Source organism: Homo sapiens, chromosome 17 (genome assembly GCF_000001405.40).
Source record: "Homo sapiens chromosome 17, GRCh38.p14 Primary Assembly".
NCBI classification, from domain to species: domain Eukaryota; kingdom Metazoa; phylum Chordata; class Mammalia; order Primates; family Hominidae; genus Homo; species Homo sapiens.
Window position 1 is genome coordinate 31848791 of NC_000017.11, and position 14777 is coordinate 31863567.

The following is a 14777-nucleotide window of genomic DNA, read 5'->3' on the forward strand; positions in this document are numbered from 1 at the left end:
GCAAAATCTTAAAATAACAAAAATGTAAAAGCAAAATTTTTACACTTCCATCATCTAATCAAATTGTTTCCACTTCTCCATCTTACCTTCTAATCTTTATACATATACATGCAATTATTTCATACATGCAATATTATGAAAGTAGTTTGAGAGTCCACCTTTTCATGCCTTATATCATTAGTATTTTTCCATTTCACTTTTTTTTCTTACTCCCACTTCATCCCCTTGAGATAACCAATACTCTACATCTTCTTTCTCTTGATCGAATCACCCAGTGGTAGGGCACCAGAATAATATTCAAATTAGAACAATTGGGCCAGGCACAGTGGCTCATGCCTGTAATCCCAATACTTTGGGAGGCTGAGGCAGGCGGATCACCTGAGGTCAGGAGTTCGAGACCGGCCTGGCCAACATAGTGAAACCCCGTCTCTACTAAAAATACAAAAATTAGCTGGGTGTGGTGACAGACGCCTGTAATCCCAGATATTTGGGACGCTGAGGCAGGAGAATCGCTTGAACCCAGAAGGCGGAGGTTGCAGTGAGCCGAGACAGTACCACTGCACTCCAGTCTTGGCAACAAAAGCGAAACTCTATCTCTAAATAAATAAATAAATGGCCCGGCGCGGTGGCTCACACATGTGATCCCAGCACTTTGGGAGGCTGAAGCGGGTGGATCACCAGGTCAGGAGATCGAGACCATCCTGGCTAACATGGTGAAACCCCATCTGTACTAAAAATACAAAAAATTAGCTGGGCGTGGTGGTGGGCACCTGTAGTCCCAGCTACTCAGGAGGCTGAGGCAGGAGAATGGCGTGAACCCGGGAAGCAGAACTTGCAGTGAGCCGAGACCATGCCACTGCACTCCAGCCTGGGCGACAGAGCGAGACTCCGACTCATAAATAAATAAATAGCAAAACTGAGGCCTAGATTGACAACTCCTCCATGGATCACAGCAGCAACATTGTGTGAATTTTCTTTGCTTAGCTACTTATGCACGTATGCTCTTCATACTATTTTTTTCTTCTCTCCCTCCCGCCCCCCTATATATATAATACCCCAACTCACAGCTTCCACCTTTACTCATAGTTTCAGCTGCCTCATAACTCCTGCTCACACATGGGCCAACACAACCTTTCAATAACATGACATTTCCATTTCAGCAATTCTGCCGTCCTCCTCAAGCCCCTAATATCTCTTGGCTCTGTTTCTCAAGTTTACCTTTTTATGCCAGACATACTCATGGTCTCATCATCTATGACCTTGAGAGGAGGAAGAAAGGGGGGTGTGGTGATATGATCTACAACTGCCCTTTTAGCAAAGACAGTGGAAGGGGCATTTTTTTCCTCCCTCCGACAGCCTTGGCCATGACTCCCCTCACCGCCAAAGCCACCACATTCCCTCACAAGGTTCTGCCTTGTTCATACACCTTGTGGGGCCTTTGAAAAAGTTTAAATGGTTAAATGCTCAATTAACTGCTATGGAGTATACTAAAATTTCACATCTGAAAGCTTTTCTTGTGTCAGCTTCAATAAGGAGGCAGGAAGAAACAATCCTTGAGCCCGTCAGACCCAAAGGTGACTTACTCTAGTGGATCCCAGACCTGCCAAGGCGAGGCCCCAGATGGTGTTGCTATTTTCTCATACATGCAGGGCCAAGAATGGACCTCAGAGTCACATATGCACCTAGGTCCCAGTTCTGCCACTCTGTGTGATCTTGAAGAGGTCAAAACCTTTTTTTTTTTTTTTTTTTTTTTTGAGACGGAGTCTCGCCCTGTTGCCCAGGCTGGAGTGCAGTGGCATGATCTTGGCTCGTTGCAACCTCTGCCTCCCAGGTTCAAGCTATTCTCCTGCCTTAGCCTCCAAAGTAGCTGGGATTACAGGCACACGCCACCACGCCCGGCTAACTTTTGTATTTTTAGTAGAAACAGGGTTTCACCATGTTAGCCAGGCTGGTCTCGAACTCCTGACCTCAGGTGATCTGCCTGCCTCAGCCTCCCAAAGTGCTGGGATTACAGGTGCGAGCCACCATGCCTGGCCTGGTCAAAACATTTTGAGTCTTGCATTCCTCATCTCCAAAATGAGGTAAAGTTTTTTGTTTTTTTTGTTTCTTTGTTTCTTTCTGAGACAGTTTCACTCTTGTTGCCCAGGCTGGAGTGCAATGGCATGATCTCGGCTCACCGCAACCTCTGCCTCCCGGGTTCAAGCGACTCCTTCTCCTGCCTCAGCCTCCCGAGTAGCTGGGATTACAGGTGTTCACCATGACACCCGGCTAATTTTTGTTTAATAGAGACAGGGTTTCTCCATGTTGGCCAGCTAGTCTTGAACTCCTGACCTCAGGTGATCCGCCCACCTCAGCCTCCCAAAGTGCTAGGATAACAGGTGTGAGCCACCGCGCCCGGCCAAAGTGAGGTAAATTTTTAAAAGTGACTTCATACAAGTAATTGTAAGGATTAAAATATTAAATGGAAAACCGAGTTTAGTGTCAATTAAGGATTATGCAATTGCTGGTTTAACTAATTTCCCATTTAGTTTTTGGCCTAGGGAAAAGCCTGTTAACTAAGTAAATGTTCCATTTTCTATCAACAGGAAAACAATCAGCTACAAAATCACCAGTGTCTCCTGGATTCCAATCCTTGGTCAACAGTGCTAGATCTACAGAAGCAAAACTAAAATTTTTTTTCTTTCACAGAGTAGTTTTAAGCCTCCAAGCGTTTGAATCTTTAAAATGTCATTCAGGGACTTTAAATGAAGTAGTGAAGGCTGGGCACGGTGGCTCACACCTGTAATCCCAGCACTTTGGGAGGCCAAGGCGGGTGGATTACTTGAGGCCAGGAATTTGAGAACAGCCTGGCCAACGTGGTGAAACCCCATCTCTACTAAAAATACAAAAAATTAGCCGGGTGTGGTGGCGAGCACCTATAGTCCCAGCTACTCAGGAGGCTGAGGCACAAAAATCGCTTAAACCCAGGAGGTGGAGGTTCCAACGAGCCAAGTTCGCGCTGCTGCACTCCAGCCTGCGTGACACAGTGAGACTGTCTCCATAAATAAATAAATGGGAAAAAAGCAGACGAAGCATACTGGTTTCTCTTTTTAACCTTTATTTACAAAGAACACAACTCCTCTTGACACAAACACACACACATTTCAAGGAGGAGCCCATTAAGAACAACAACAGACTGGCGAGAATGACGGGGCCTTATTGAACACTGTCAATAAGGAACACTGGTCTGTGTACCCCAGACTAGGGGTCACTGCAAACATTTTCTCAGATATGACTTTTCACCTCCAAGACAGGAAAAGAGATCTTGACGTGGAGGCCCGCCCACCTACAAGGCAGAAAGCTCCACACTCAATCTTCAGCATCGTCAAACTGTCCTGTTTCAAAGACCATCTTGGAATAATAGGGTATCAGTGGAGGCGGATGGTGCCAGCTGGGGTCATAGATCATGTCTCCTTGTGGGGCACAGCACACCCAAGGTTTAAGCTCTTGAGAAATGCTCTCCTGGATGTCGTCAGCATCTGCAGGCAGTTTTAAAAGACAGATTAAGGGAAGGAAGGAGGGAAGGAAGGAAGGTAAAAACGGACAGCCAAAAAGGTATGTCTAGGGGACAGATCCTTGCACTTATTTTGTTTAAAAACACACACAGTTCTCCTTTCCTGAAGAATTGTAAATGCGTTCATTCGGAACAGCTGAGAAGCTATGCTTCTCAGACAAGGGTTCTTAGCAGTGAAGAAGCAAACTGGATAACACAGCACTTCTATCTGCAGCTGCTCAATTCATAGCAGAGATTTTTGGAGAGAGTAACAGTTTTGACTTTAAAACAGTGATACATTATGGAGTCAAATGCAAAATTTGGATTTTTTCAATATAAAAGAGAAGGTGTCACAGAAATTGGAGACCTGTAACAGATACCAGCCTAAGCTCATAGATGTGGACCCCTGTTCCAAACTGCCTTCAGGGCTGGTCTGACAGGTGTGTCTGAGAAGGCCTAGTTCAGGACCCCCAGAGACTCCACACCTACCATATGGATTCCCTTGATCTGCTTTCAACTCCGAGTCCCAGTCCTCATTAAAAAGATCGCCAGGCTGTTCCTTGGGTGGACAGTTTGTCCCTTCTGACAGCTCCCAGGTATTCAGTTCTCCATCAGAGTCCTCCTCATCCATGGCAAAGCCTTCCTCTTCAGAATGGGTGCCCTCACCCCGGGCAGGACTGTCATTAGGAATGCTCTGTGTTCCACGGGCTAAATTGACAAAGAGAAGATGGCCTTAGTGACAAACCAAAGAGGACCTGCTCTGTGCTCAGTAAATTTTGGGCAGACTTACTACGAAGGTAGTAAAACAAGTGCACAGAGTCTTCTTTAGCCACCGAGCACTTTTTTAAAAATGCACTTCTTTGTATGTTTTTAAAAGAGCTGATAATTTATTTTCAATAAGACGTTTTGTCTTATACAAGGCATTAATTGTCAGGTCCTTTAATTTACAAAGAGGGCTAGGGACAGTTAACATTTTCAGGTGGTTTGTATGTCACTGAGGCAAAGGGCCTCTGATAAATAATACACTTTCACAATACAAGCCTGAATTAAGTTTTTGCTCTTTTTTTTTTTTTTTTGAGACAGAGTCTCGCTCTGTCGCCCAGGCTGGAATGCAATGGCACCATCTCGGCTCACTGCAACCTCTACCTCCCAGGTTCAAGCAATTCTCTGCCTCAGCCTCCTGAGCAGCTGGGATTACAAGCGCCCGCCACCACGCCCAGCTAATTTTTTTGTATTTTTAGTAGAGACGGGGTTTCACCATCTTGGCCAGGCTGGTCTTGAACCCCTGACCTTGTGATCCACCCGCCTCGGCCTCCCAAAGTGCTGGGATTACAGGCGTAAGCCACTGTGCCCGGTTGTTTTTGCTCTTTTATTCCTCCCTTCAGCCTCAAAGAGCATGTTAGAGGTGAGCACAGGGACAAAGGGGAGCAGGGGCACTGCAGGCAGAAGACCAGAACCCATCTAATCACAATGGGCAGCACCTAGTGCCTCCCTCTGACATCAGGGAGGCCGGAAGGTACATTTTCAAAAGGCCTCACAATAACGGAGGAAAGACTGGGGAAAGATAATGGATTTCCGAGCACATAGTGCTTTGGTGATGCCAGGTCCCAGGAGAGAAGGCAATCAGCCTAAAACAGCCATGCTCTTAATACTGGAACAACAGTAACAGTGATAAGCAATAAAGTGATAGTTCAGAGCAAGGGGTCTAAAGCCAGACTGTCTGATTTCAAATCCGTGTTTTGTCAATTACCAAACATCGGACTGGGCCGGGCACGGTAGCTCACCCTTGTAAACCTAGCACTTTGGGAGGCCAAGGTGGGTGGACTGCTTGAGCTCAGGAGTTCAAGGCCAGCCTGAACAATGTCGCAAACCCTGTCTCTACAAAAAATTCAAAAAATTTAGCTGGGTGCAGTGGCATGCACCTGTAATCCCAGCTACTCAAGAGGCTGAGGTGGGAGGATCGCTTGAACCTGGGAGGTGGAGGCTGCAGTGAGCCAAGATCGTGCCATTGCACAGAGTGAGACCCTGTCTCCAAAAAAAAAAAAAAAAAAAAAAAAAAAAGTGTGATTGAGCTGAAATTTACTTAACTAGTTCCATAACATAAATATAGAATTACCATATGACCCAGCAATCCCAGTCCTAAACATATACCCAAAAGAACTGAAAACAGCTGTTCAAATAAAACAAGGATACTCACAGCAGCACTATTTACAATCACCAAAAGGTAGACACAACATCAAATGTCCATCAATGGATGAATGGAAAAACAAAATGTGGTATATGCATATGATGGAATTATTCAGCCATAAAAAGGAATGCAGTGCTGATACATGCTACGGCATGGATGCACCTTGAAAATACGCTAAGTGGAAGAAGCCAGACACAAAAGGCCACATATTGTTATGATTCCCTTTACAGGCAACTCACATTTGCCTATCCAGAACAGATAAACCCACAGAGACAGAAAGCAAATTAGTGGTTGCCAAGAGCTCAGAGAAGGAAGGAATGGAGAATGACTACTTGGTGAGCACAGGGTTTCCTTTTAGGGTGATGAAAAGATTCTGGAACTAGGTAGTGGTGATGGTTGCACAACACTGCCATTGTGCTAAAAGGCTACTGAATTATATGCGTTAAAATGGTTACATGGTAAATTTAGGTTATGCATCTTTTACCACAATTTTTAAATTGTTTTTATTTAACTGTTCTGTGCCTCAACTTCCACATCTGTAAAATGAAGATAGGGTTGTTGTGAGAGTTAAAAGAAAAAAAAAGGCCAGGCACGGTGGCTCATGCCTGTAATCCCAGCACTTTGGGAGGCCGAGGTGGGCGGATCACCTGAGGTCAGGAGTTTGAGACCAGCCTGGCCAACATGGTGAAAGCCCCTCTCCACTAAAAATACAAAAATTAGGCCGGGAGCAGTGGCTCACGCCTGTAATCCCAGCACTTTGGGTGGCCAAGGAGGGCAGATCACGAGGTCAGGAGATCGAGACCATCCTAACAAGGTAAAATCCTATCTCTACTAAAAACACAAAAAATTAGCCAGGCGTGGTGGCGGGTGCCTGTGGTCCCAGCTACTCGGGAGGCTGAGGCAGGAGAATGGTGTGAACCCAGGGGGCAGAGTTTGCAGTGAGCCGAGATAGTGCCACTGCCTGGGAGACAGAGCGAGACTCCGTCTCAAAAAATAAATAAATAAATAAATAAATAAATACAAAAATTAGCCAGGCGATATGGTGCACGCCTGTAATCCCAGCTACTCAGGAGGCTGAGGCACGAGAATCACTTGAACCCGGGAGACAGAGGTTGCAGTGAGCCAAGATTGCGACACTGCACTCCAGCCTGGGTGACAGAGTGAGACTCCATCTCAAAAAAAAAAAAGAAAAAGAAAAAAAGGGGCCAAGCGTGGTAGCTCACACCTGTAATCCCAGCACTCTGAGAGGCTGAGGCAGATGGATCAGGTGAGGTCAGGAGTTCGAGACCAGCCTGGCTAACATGGTGAAACCCCATCTCTACTAAAAATACAAAAATTAGCTGGGCATGGTGGCATATGCCTGTAATCCAGCTACTTGGGAGGCTGAGGTAGGAGAATGCTTGAATCCAGGAGGCAGAGGTTGCAGTGAGCCAAGATTGTGCCATTGCACTCCAGCCTGGGCAACAAGAGCAAAACTCCCTCTCAAAAAAAAAAAAAAACGGCAGGGGGCTGGGCACAGTGGCTCATGCCTTTGTAATCCCAGCACTTTGGGAGCGTGGGCTCACAGTAATCCCAGCACTTTGGGAGGCCTAGGTGGGCAGATCACTTGAGATCAGGAGTTCGAGACCAGCCTGGCCAACATAGTAAAACCCCATAGCTACTAAAAATACAAAAGTTAGCTGGGTGTGGTGGCGCGTGCCTGTAGTTCCAGCTACTCGGGAGGCTGAGGCAGGAGAATTGCTTTAACCTGGGAAGCGGAGGTTGCGGTGAGCTGACATCGTGCCACTGTACTCCAGCCTGGTGACACAGCGAGACTCCGTTTCAAAAAAAAAAGATATTTTGAGAGAGAACACATTCACGTAACTTTCAGTATACTGGCATAATTGTTCTATATTACTATTGTTATTAATCACATATGCATAATTTATAAGTTAAACCATATCAGAAATAGTATATATAGGAGGAAAAAAAAGCAGTTTCAGGCATCCATTGGGGCGGGGGGGTCTTAGAATGTATCCCCTAGGAATAAGGTGAGACTGCTGTACTATTTTCACCGTTTCAAGCTGTTTCTCTCGGTAGAAGGATGGATTTGAACATAAGAAAAGTTCAGGACTTCCCTTAAGGAAGCTCCAAGCAAGGCTTCCAAAGGAGGTTACTGTTCAACTGGGCAGAGAAGGCCACTAAGCAGCAGAGAGGACTGGCTAAAAGAGAAGGTAAATGAGACAGAGGGACTATTCCTCTCCTCACATCCTTGGTCTCCCCAACTTCCGTCTCTGCCATCTACTTGCCTAGTCGATCCATAGCCTTCTCAGTCTCTCTCTCCTGACTGGAGTGGTCAGCTGTAGCAAAGCCAGCCTGCAGGAAGAAGAAATGATTACCAAGGACTTGGGTATCTGGGGTATGCCCAGTATTCAGCTATTGCATCTCAACCCCACCCACTCTTCCATACTCCCCTTGGTGATGCAGGGCTGGGACTCTGCCACCCACATTTCTACTTTGCCCTGTTAAACTGAGCAAGGCTGGAGGGAGATGGGCCTTGTTCCTTCCTATTCATGTAGGCATCACCTCATGACACTTCACCGTGGCAGCAGGAATGCCTTCCTATAGTGGCCACAGAATCCAGTATACAGTTCTGCGAACTCTTGCAGAGCCAGTCTTATCACTGCACCTTCTCTTTAGAGGTCTGGGTCTCAGGACTCTCCTCCAAGCTCAGAGACCCCCTACCATCAGCTGGGGCAGTGCCTTCTCCTTAAAGGTTGGAATTTCAGCTCTGCAGAGCCTTTTCCCTAAGCTTTTAAATTTTAATCAACTTCATCTCTTTGTTCCTTCAGCCATAGGTTGGTAGCTGTTCCCTGCGGTTGCCACCCCCAGGTACACGTTTTACCTTTTCAGTTACTTAACAACTTTATAGCTAGTAAACAACTCTATCAAATTCTCTGTTTCCTCACCAACACACTGAGGTGGGGGAAGCTTTATAATTCCTCTGCAATGCTGAGCACTGAAGGCAGTATTTCTAATCTAACTGAAAATCTTCCCGCACAGCCAACCAAATGCTTCTCTGCTCCCATCACTCAGAAGTTCCTGAAACCCTATGACCTCCAAGACCTCTTTCTAATGAATCACGAAATGTTCCCTGCCTGCATAAAAGACCTGATTTTGATCCCAGCTCTGCCATCCATTCAGAGTGTGACCTTGAACACATCACTTCAATTACTGTGCCTGAGTTTTCTTCTCCAGAAATTAGGGGTGACTGTTCTGACCCTGCAGGGGACTTATGATTAGACACCATTTATGAAAACACCTGGCATGTGGCAAGAATGTAACATTTCTTGAATTTAAATTCATCTTTTCTGCTACATCTAAACTGTACTCGGCACCTGCTCCAATCAGCATTCATTATCTAGTCATGTCTGGGTTTAATAATTCAGTTCCACTCCCTGTAGTTAGTGACAACCTCTGGTCACTGCCGCCCAAGGAGAAGTCAGACCTCTCACCTAAACCACTGCCACGGCCTCCTAACCACCTTCCCATCCAGCCATCTGGCCCAGCCTTACAGAATTAATCACTACTCTGCTCAAAACCTTCAACAGCCCTCCACTGAGAGAGCACAAAATTAGCCATGGCATTCGCACGTCCCCTCTTCTCCCACTCCCATCAACCTGTTGAGCATAGTTCTCTGCATGCTCTGAGACCCAACTCCAGGCCATGTGCCCTGCACTTTCTCATCTCCACGCCTCTGCAGACACCACCAGCCTCTCACCTTGATCCTTTCCTGCTATGCCCTGACAAAATTAGTCCCATTCTATTCTGCACTCCAAAGTAATTTTCTTTGTAAGTGTCGCTGCATTTTTCATATCTTACTTTGGCTAAGTACCATCTTTGAGGCATCATTCATCCAGTCGGTATGTCTATCTCCTGTGCCAGGCACTATGCTAGGCTGTGCAAACAGCCCTAACAGAGGGTTCCTACCTTCAAGCCGCTCAGCACCTAGCCGGTACAGACTGTAAACAAGGACAGGTAAGAACTGTAATAACGGTCTGTAACGTTCTCGGGAAAACCAGGAGCTGTCTAGCTTACATGAAAACAAGTTTCTGGAAACCCTGCGTCAAACAGGGCCTTTCTGGTTTCAGTAAGGAGAAGGGGGAGCGCGCATGTGACATCTGGGGCTCAGGGTTAGCTGGCATCCCCACCAACGGACAGAGGTCCACAGGTCTGTAAAGTCAAGTCCCTCTCCTCGCCGCCCTCACCTGGCCCTCGCCCAGGCTCCTGGCAGCGGGCCCCGGCTCTCGGTCACCAGCGTCACCTCCCATTTACCAAATCCGCAGCGGCGCCCAGCGGGCGGACAGCCGTCTCTGCTGACCCAGAGCGCCCACCCACGCCCTCGGCTTTCCCCGCCCCGCAGCCCCGCGGCCCCGCGGCCTGGCCGTTTTCAGCTCGAGCGCGAGCCCAAACAGCGCTCCGTGTCGCGGGGCGGCCCGAGGCCGGCCAGAGGCGCTTCCCCGGCCCCGCGGCCCCCGCCCAGCCCGGCCCCGCGACTTCCCGCCCCAGGCTGCGGCTGGCTGTTGCTCCTGGCCCCCACGCGGCGCTCACCTCCGGGCTGGGGGGCGCCCCCCGCGCGCTAGGCAGCGGCGGGCCCCGAGACGGCTCCGCGGCCCCCTGCGCCTGGGCCCCGGCGGCCTGAAGGTCCATGCCCTGCGGCCCGCGGCTGGTCGCCCTGGACGCCGTGGGCCACGTGACGCGCCGGCCCGGCTGCCCGCCCGAGGATCCGCCGCAGAAGCGCCAATCAGCCTGGGGAGGGGGTGGGTACCGGCCAAGAGGGCGGGGCGCGGGGGTGTCACGAGCAAGCGGGGGCGGGGCGGCGCAGGGGGCGGGGCGCGCGGCCTCGCGGAGCCCGCCCCTCCCTCCCAGCGCGAAATCTGAAACAATCTCGGAGACGGATTTTGGAAACTCCTCTCGGTGCATATCCTAAGGCTGCACGACTAGCTGCGTGTGAAACGCCAAGCGTACCCTACTCGGCCACTCGGGGTGTGCTCCAGCTTCAAAACCCCGCGTGGGTAAGACACATGAGCAACCCAGTGACCTCCACCTTGAGCTAATGATCGTCTTTGAAGTTAATCCATTAGAAACCAAGATAGATGATTAAGACACAAACTGCAATATGCAGTGGACACAGAATACAGGCCACGACGCTTACTCATAATAATCCTGAACATTCGGGATTCCTGTATTTCCATGCTCAACGCCTGATACCGACAACCTAATTATTTCCCATTTTGCCTCGAAAGGTGGCTTCTGGGGATAGGCAGGGCCTGAGCTGGGAACAGCCCAACTGGAAAGACAGCCTTCCCTGCCTTCCCCACAGTGCCTAACCTCTAATAACAAACCAGCTCAAGGTGTGCTAATCACGTCAACATCAGGACATGAGACCCTCTTCCTTCATCCCCCTCAAAGACTGTGTTGTTTGTACAACACAAAAGGCATTTGAAAAAATTTAGCATAAAACTGACACACAATATTCGATATTATTTTTGTTCTATATGTAGATGTTCCTACACAGGAGTCAGTATCCCCAAGGCTAACTGCCTCTAGGTCAGCAATGTCCAATAGAACGTTCTTTAATGGTGGAAGTGGAAATGAAAGTTCTACTATCTGTACTGTCCAATATAGTAACCATATACCTACTGAGCACTTGAAATGTGGCCAATGTGAATAAATTGAATAATTCTAATAAATTTAAATTGCTACATGTGCCTTGGAGCTACTGTTTCTAACAGTGCAACTCTAGGTGTACTAGCTAGATGTGTTTTCATAACCTGCAATATTGAGAATCAGATACAGGGATGTGATGACCCCAGGTGACCACCCTTATAGCCTTGTGTTAAGGAGACTACCACTATCCTCTTTGCTCCCTAATCTACATATCTCTTTCGTAAAATTAAAGTGCCAAATAAGATTAAGAATGTTAAACATCCCAGGACTTAAGGGACAGGAAAAAGAGGAATTTTTTTCTTATTTTAAAACAAATGACAAGAAAACAGGGGCTGGCCGCGGTGGCTCACTCCTGTAATTCCAGCACTTTGGGAGGCCGAGGCAGGCAGATCACTTGAGGTCAGTTCAAGGCTATCCTGGCCAACATGGTGAAACCCCATCTCTACTAAAAATACAAAAATTAGCCAGGCGTGGTGGCACACACCCATAATCCCAGCTACTCGGGAGGCTGAGGCAGGAGAATCACTTGAGCCCGGGAGGTGGAGGGTGCAGTGAGCAGAGATTGCCCCACAGCACTCCAGCCTGGGCGACAGAGTGAGACTTGGTCTAAAAAAAAAAAAAACCAGAAAGAAAAAGAAAACAGTACAAAAGCTTAAAATAAAAATGTTCTAAAGTAGACTCTAATACTCATAGAAATTTAATATATAATAAAGGTAACATCACAAATCAGCAGAGAGAAACATAACTGCCCAAATAGTGTTGGCAAAATTAACTGCTTGGGGAAAAAGAGTTGTTCTCAGCACCAGGAAGAGCTTCCAAAGCATTTTAAAAACAGACATCACACATACACACACAAAATACCTCTGGGCATCAAAAATCGCCACAAAAGGTGCCTATAATCCCAGCTACTTGGGAGGCTTTGGCAGGGAGAACTGTTTGAACCTAGGAGGCAGAGGTTGCAGTAAGACCACACCACTGCACTCCAGCCTGGACCACAGAGCAAGACTCTGTCTCAAAAAAAAAAAATCACCACAAACAAGGCTGGGGGTAAAATTATTTGCAACAAATGAGAAACAAGATATTAATATTCTGAATATGTTTTTAAAAACTCTGGCCAGGCACAATGGCTCATGCCTATAATACCAGCACTTTGGGAGGTTGAGGTAGGAGGATTGTTTGAGCCCAACTGTTTAAGAGACCAGCCCTGGCAACATAGCAAGACCAGTCTCTACAAAAAAAAATTTAAATTAACCAGGCATGGTGGTGTGCACCTGCAGTCCCAGCTACTCAAGAGGCTGAGGTGGGAGGATCTCTTGAGCCCAGAAGTTAAGGCTGTAGTGAGCCATGATCACACCACTGCACTCTAGCCTAGGTGACAAAGCAAGAACTTGTCCAATTTAAAAAAAAAAATTAACTCATAAATTAGTAAGAAAAAAAATTTTTAAATAGTCTAAGGATGTAAAAAGATGAGAAACATAAAATACACTAACTTCACTAATATCAAAGTATGGTAAAACAATGACATATCACATTTCACCTATAAAATGGTAAAAATAAAAGATATAATTACACCAGTACAGGTAAGGGTACTGACACTTTCATGTATTGCTTGAAAGAAGGAGCAAACCAGCAATACATATCAGTATTCTCTAAAAGCAGTATCCTTTGATCCAGTAATTCCACTGTCGGATGTCAATCTCCTAAGGAAATGGCCAGGGATGTGAACAAAGATTGACAAGAATCTTCATCAACAGCATTTATCTAATTTTTAAAAAAATTAGAAATGACAGTCCAGGCCAGGCTTAGTGGTTCACGCCTGTAATCCCAACACTTTGGGAGGCCAAGGCGGGTGGATCATGAGGTCAGGAGTTCGCAACCAGCCTGGCCAATATGATGAAACCCCCGCACTACTAAAAATACAAAAATTGGCTGGGCGCGGTGGCGGGTGCCTGTAATCCCACCCAGCTGCTCGGGAGGCTGAGCCAGAACCACTTGAACCCGGGAGGTGGAGGTTGCAGTGAGCCGAGATGGAGCCACTGCACTCCAGCCTGGATGACAGAGCAAGGCTCCATCTCAAAAAAAAAAAGACAGTCTAACCAGAGGATTAGTAAAATATATTATGGCTCATTTTTACAATGTAATGTTACGAATTCATTAAATGTTTTTAAGGCTATTTAATGACACAGAAAAACAATACTAAGTGAAACGTAACAATAAGCTACACTGAAAGCTTCTCCCAGTGACAGGATGCTTTTTTTTACCACACTATTCTATTTCCTCCATATTTTCCAGAACAAATGCATACCACGTATCTTTTATAATGAGAATAAACCAACAAAACTGTACTTTCTCCTTTTTTTTTTTCCTTGAGAAGGAGTTTCGCTCTTCTTACCCAGGATGGAGTAGCAATGGCATGATCTCGGCTCACTGCAACCTCCGTCTCCCAGGTTCAAGCAATTCTCCTGCCTCAGCCTCCCAAGCAGCTGGGATTACAGGCACCCACCACCACACCTGGCTAATTTTTGTATTTTTAGTAGAGACGGGGTTTCACCATGTTGGCCAGGCTAGTCTCAAACTCCTGACCTCAGGTGATCCGCCTGCCTCAGCCTTCCCAAAGTGCTGGGATTACAGGCGTTGAGTCACCATGCCTGGCCACTTTCTCCTTCATTTTAACTGGCTCTTAGGTCGAGATTAGAGATACTCATGCTTGACCTGGGATAATTTTAAAAAAACCCAGTCGTATGCTATCCATGTATTTTGGGAAACATTTAGGACCTGTGGAAGATCGGGCCTCAACATTAAATCAGCAATTCTCTTTACTGGAATCAGATTAGCACATCAAACTGAGCAGTGTCATGCACCTATAATCCCAGCTACTCAGGAGTCTGAGGTGAGAAGGTCACTTGAGTCCAGGAGTTCAAGACCAGCCAGGGCAACAGAGCAAGACCCAGTCTCAATCATAAAAATTTTTTAATTTTTAAAAAGATTTAACAAGTTAACATAAAATTAAAGTGTGTCTCAAAACCAGACAGCCATCTTGTCTGCCATCACTGAGCAAATTACAGATGGACTCAATACAAATTTGCCCACGGGGCTTGCTTGCAATACTATTTCACAAAGCTGACTGTATTCTTCATCTTCATAAATGGCCAGTCTGATGCATAGCATGTTTAGCTACAAATGCCTCTGCTGACTCTCCCTGCAACATTTTCATCGCTCGCCAGTAGATCTGTCCACAGTTCTCAGGTCTACCAAGGGGGTGGTTCAATTCTTCTTTCATATAATCCATCCAAAGATCTTTTAAAAAAAAAACATACAATTAGATAACTGACAGAGTGTTATTAGGTA

General features: G+C 46.7%; 2 protein-coding genes across 5 annotated transcripts in view, besides 2 other annotated features; both read right to left on the reverse strand.

The window, feature by feature from the left end:
- Positions 1-3080: 3080 nt before the first annotated feature.
- COPRS (coordinator of PRMT5 and differentiation stimulator) lies at positions 3081-10454 on the reverse strand. 2 transcript variants are annotated; one of them, NM_018405.4, is made up of 4 exons: positions 10311-10454; positions 8009-8075; positions 4022-4240; positions 3081-3518 (listed from the first exon to the last, which is right to left on the reverse strand). In NM_018405.4, exons 1-4 carry the CDS (start codon positions 10407-10409, stop codon positions 3349-3351), a joined length of 555 nt encoding a protein of 184 aa, NP_060875.2. In that variant the 5' UTR covers positions 10410-10454; the 3' UTR covers positions 3081-3348. The 2 variants fall into 2 exon arrangements, with proteins under 2 accessions (NP_060875.2, NP_001317105.1); NM_001330176.2 differs by lacking the exon at positions 10311-10454 and adding an exon at positions 9968-10172.
- Positions 9441-10115: an enhancer, noted in NCBI's record as "H3K27ac-H3K4me1 hESC enhancer chr17:30185250-30185924 (GRCh37/hg19 assembly coordinates)". NCBI's record gives its function as "activates a minimal SCP1, AML or CMV promoter by ChIP-STARR-seq in naive and primed H9 embryonic stem cells {active_cell/tissue: H9 hESC(naive and primed)}" and the evidence as "EXISTENCE:reporter gene assay evidence [ECO:0000049][PMID:30033119]".
- Positions 10175-10604: a silencer, noted in NCBI's record as "silent region_8414". NCBI's record gives its function as "represses an Ori minimal core promoter by ATAC-STARR-seq in GM12878 lymphoblastoid cells {active_cell/tissue: GM12878}" and the evidence as "EXISTENCE:reporter gene assay evidence [ECO:0000049][PMID:35858748]".
- The window catches only part of UTP6 (UTP6 small subunit processome component), a 40805-nt gene continuing 38141 nt past the window's right edge, over positions 12114-14777 (reverse strand). For all 3 annotated transcript variants that reach the window (XM_011524997.4, NM_018428.3, XM_047436390.1), the window contains one exon: positions 12114-14726. In XM_011524997.4, the coding sequence (XP_011523299.1) occupies positions 14706-14726 (21 nt within the window). In that variant the 3' untranslated portion in view covers positions 12114-14705. The remainder of the gene's footprint in view (positions 14727-14777) is intronic.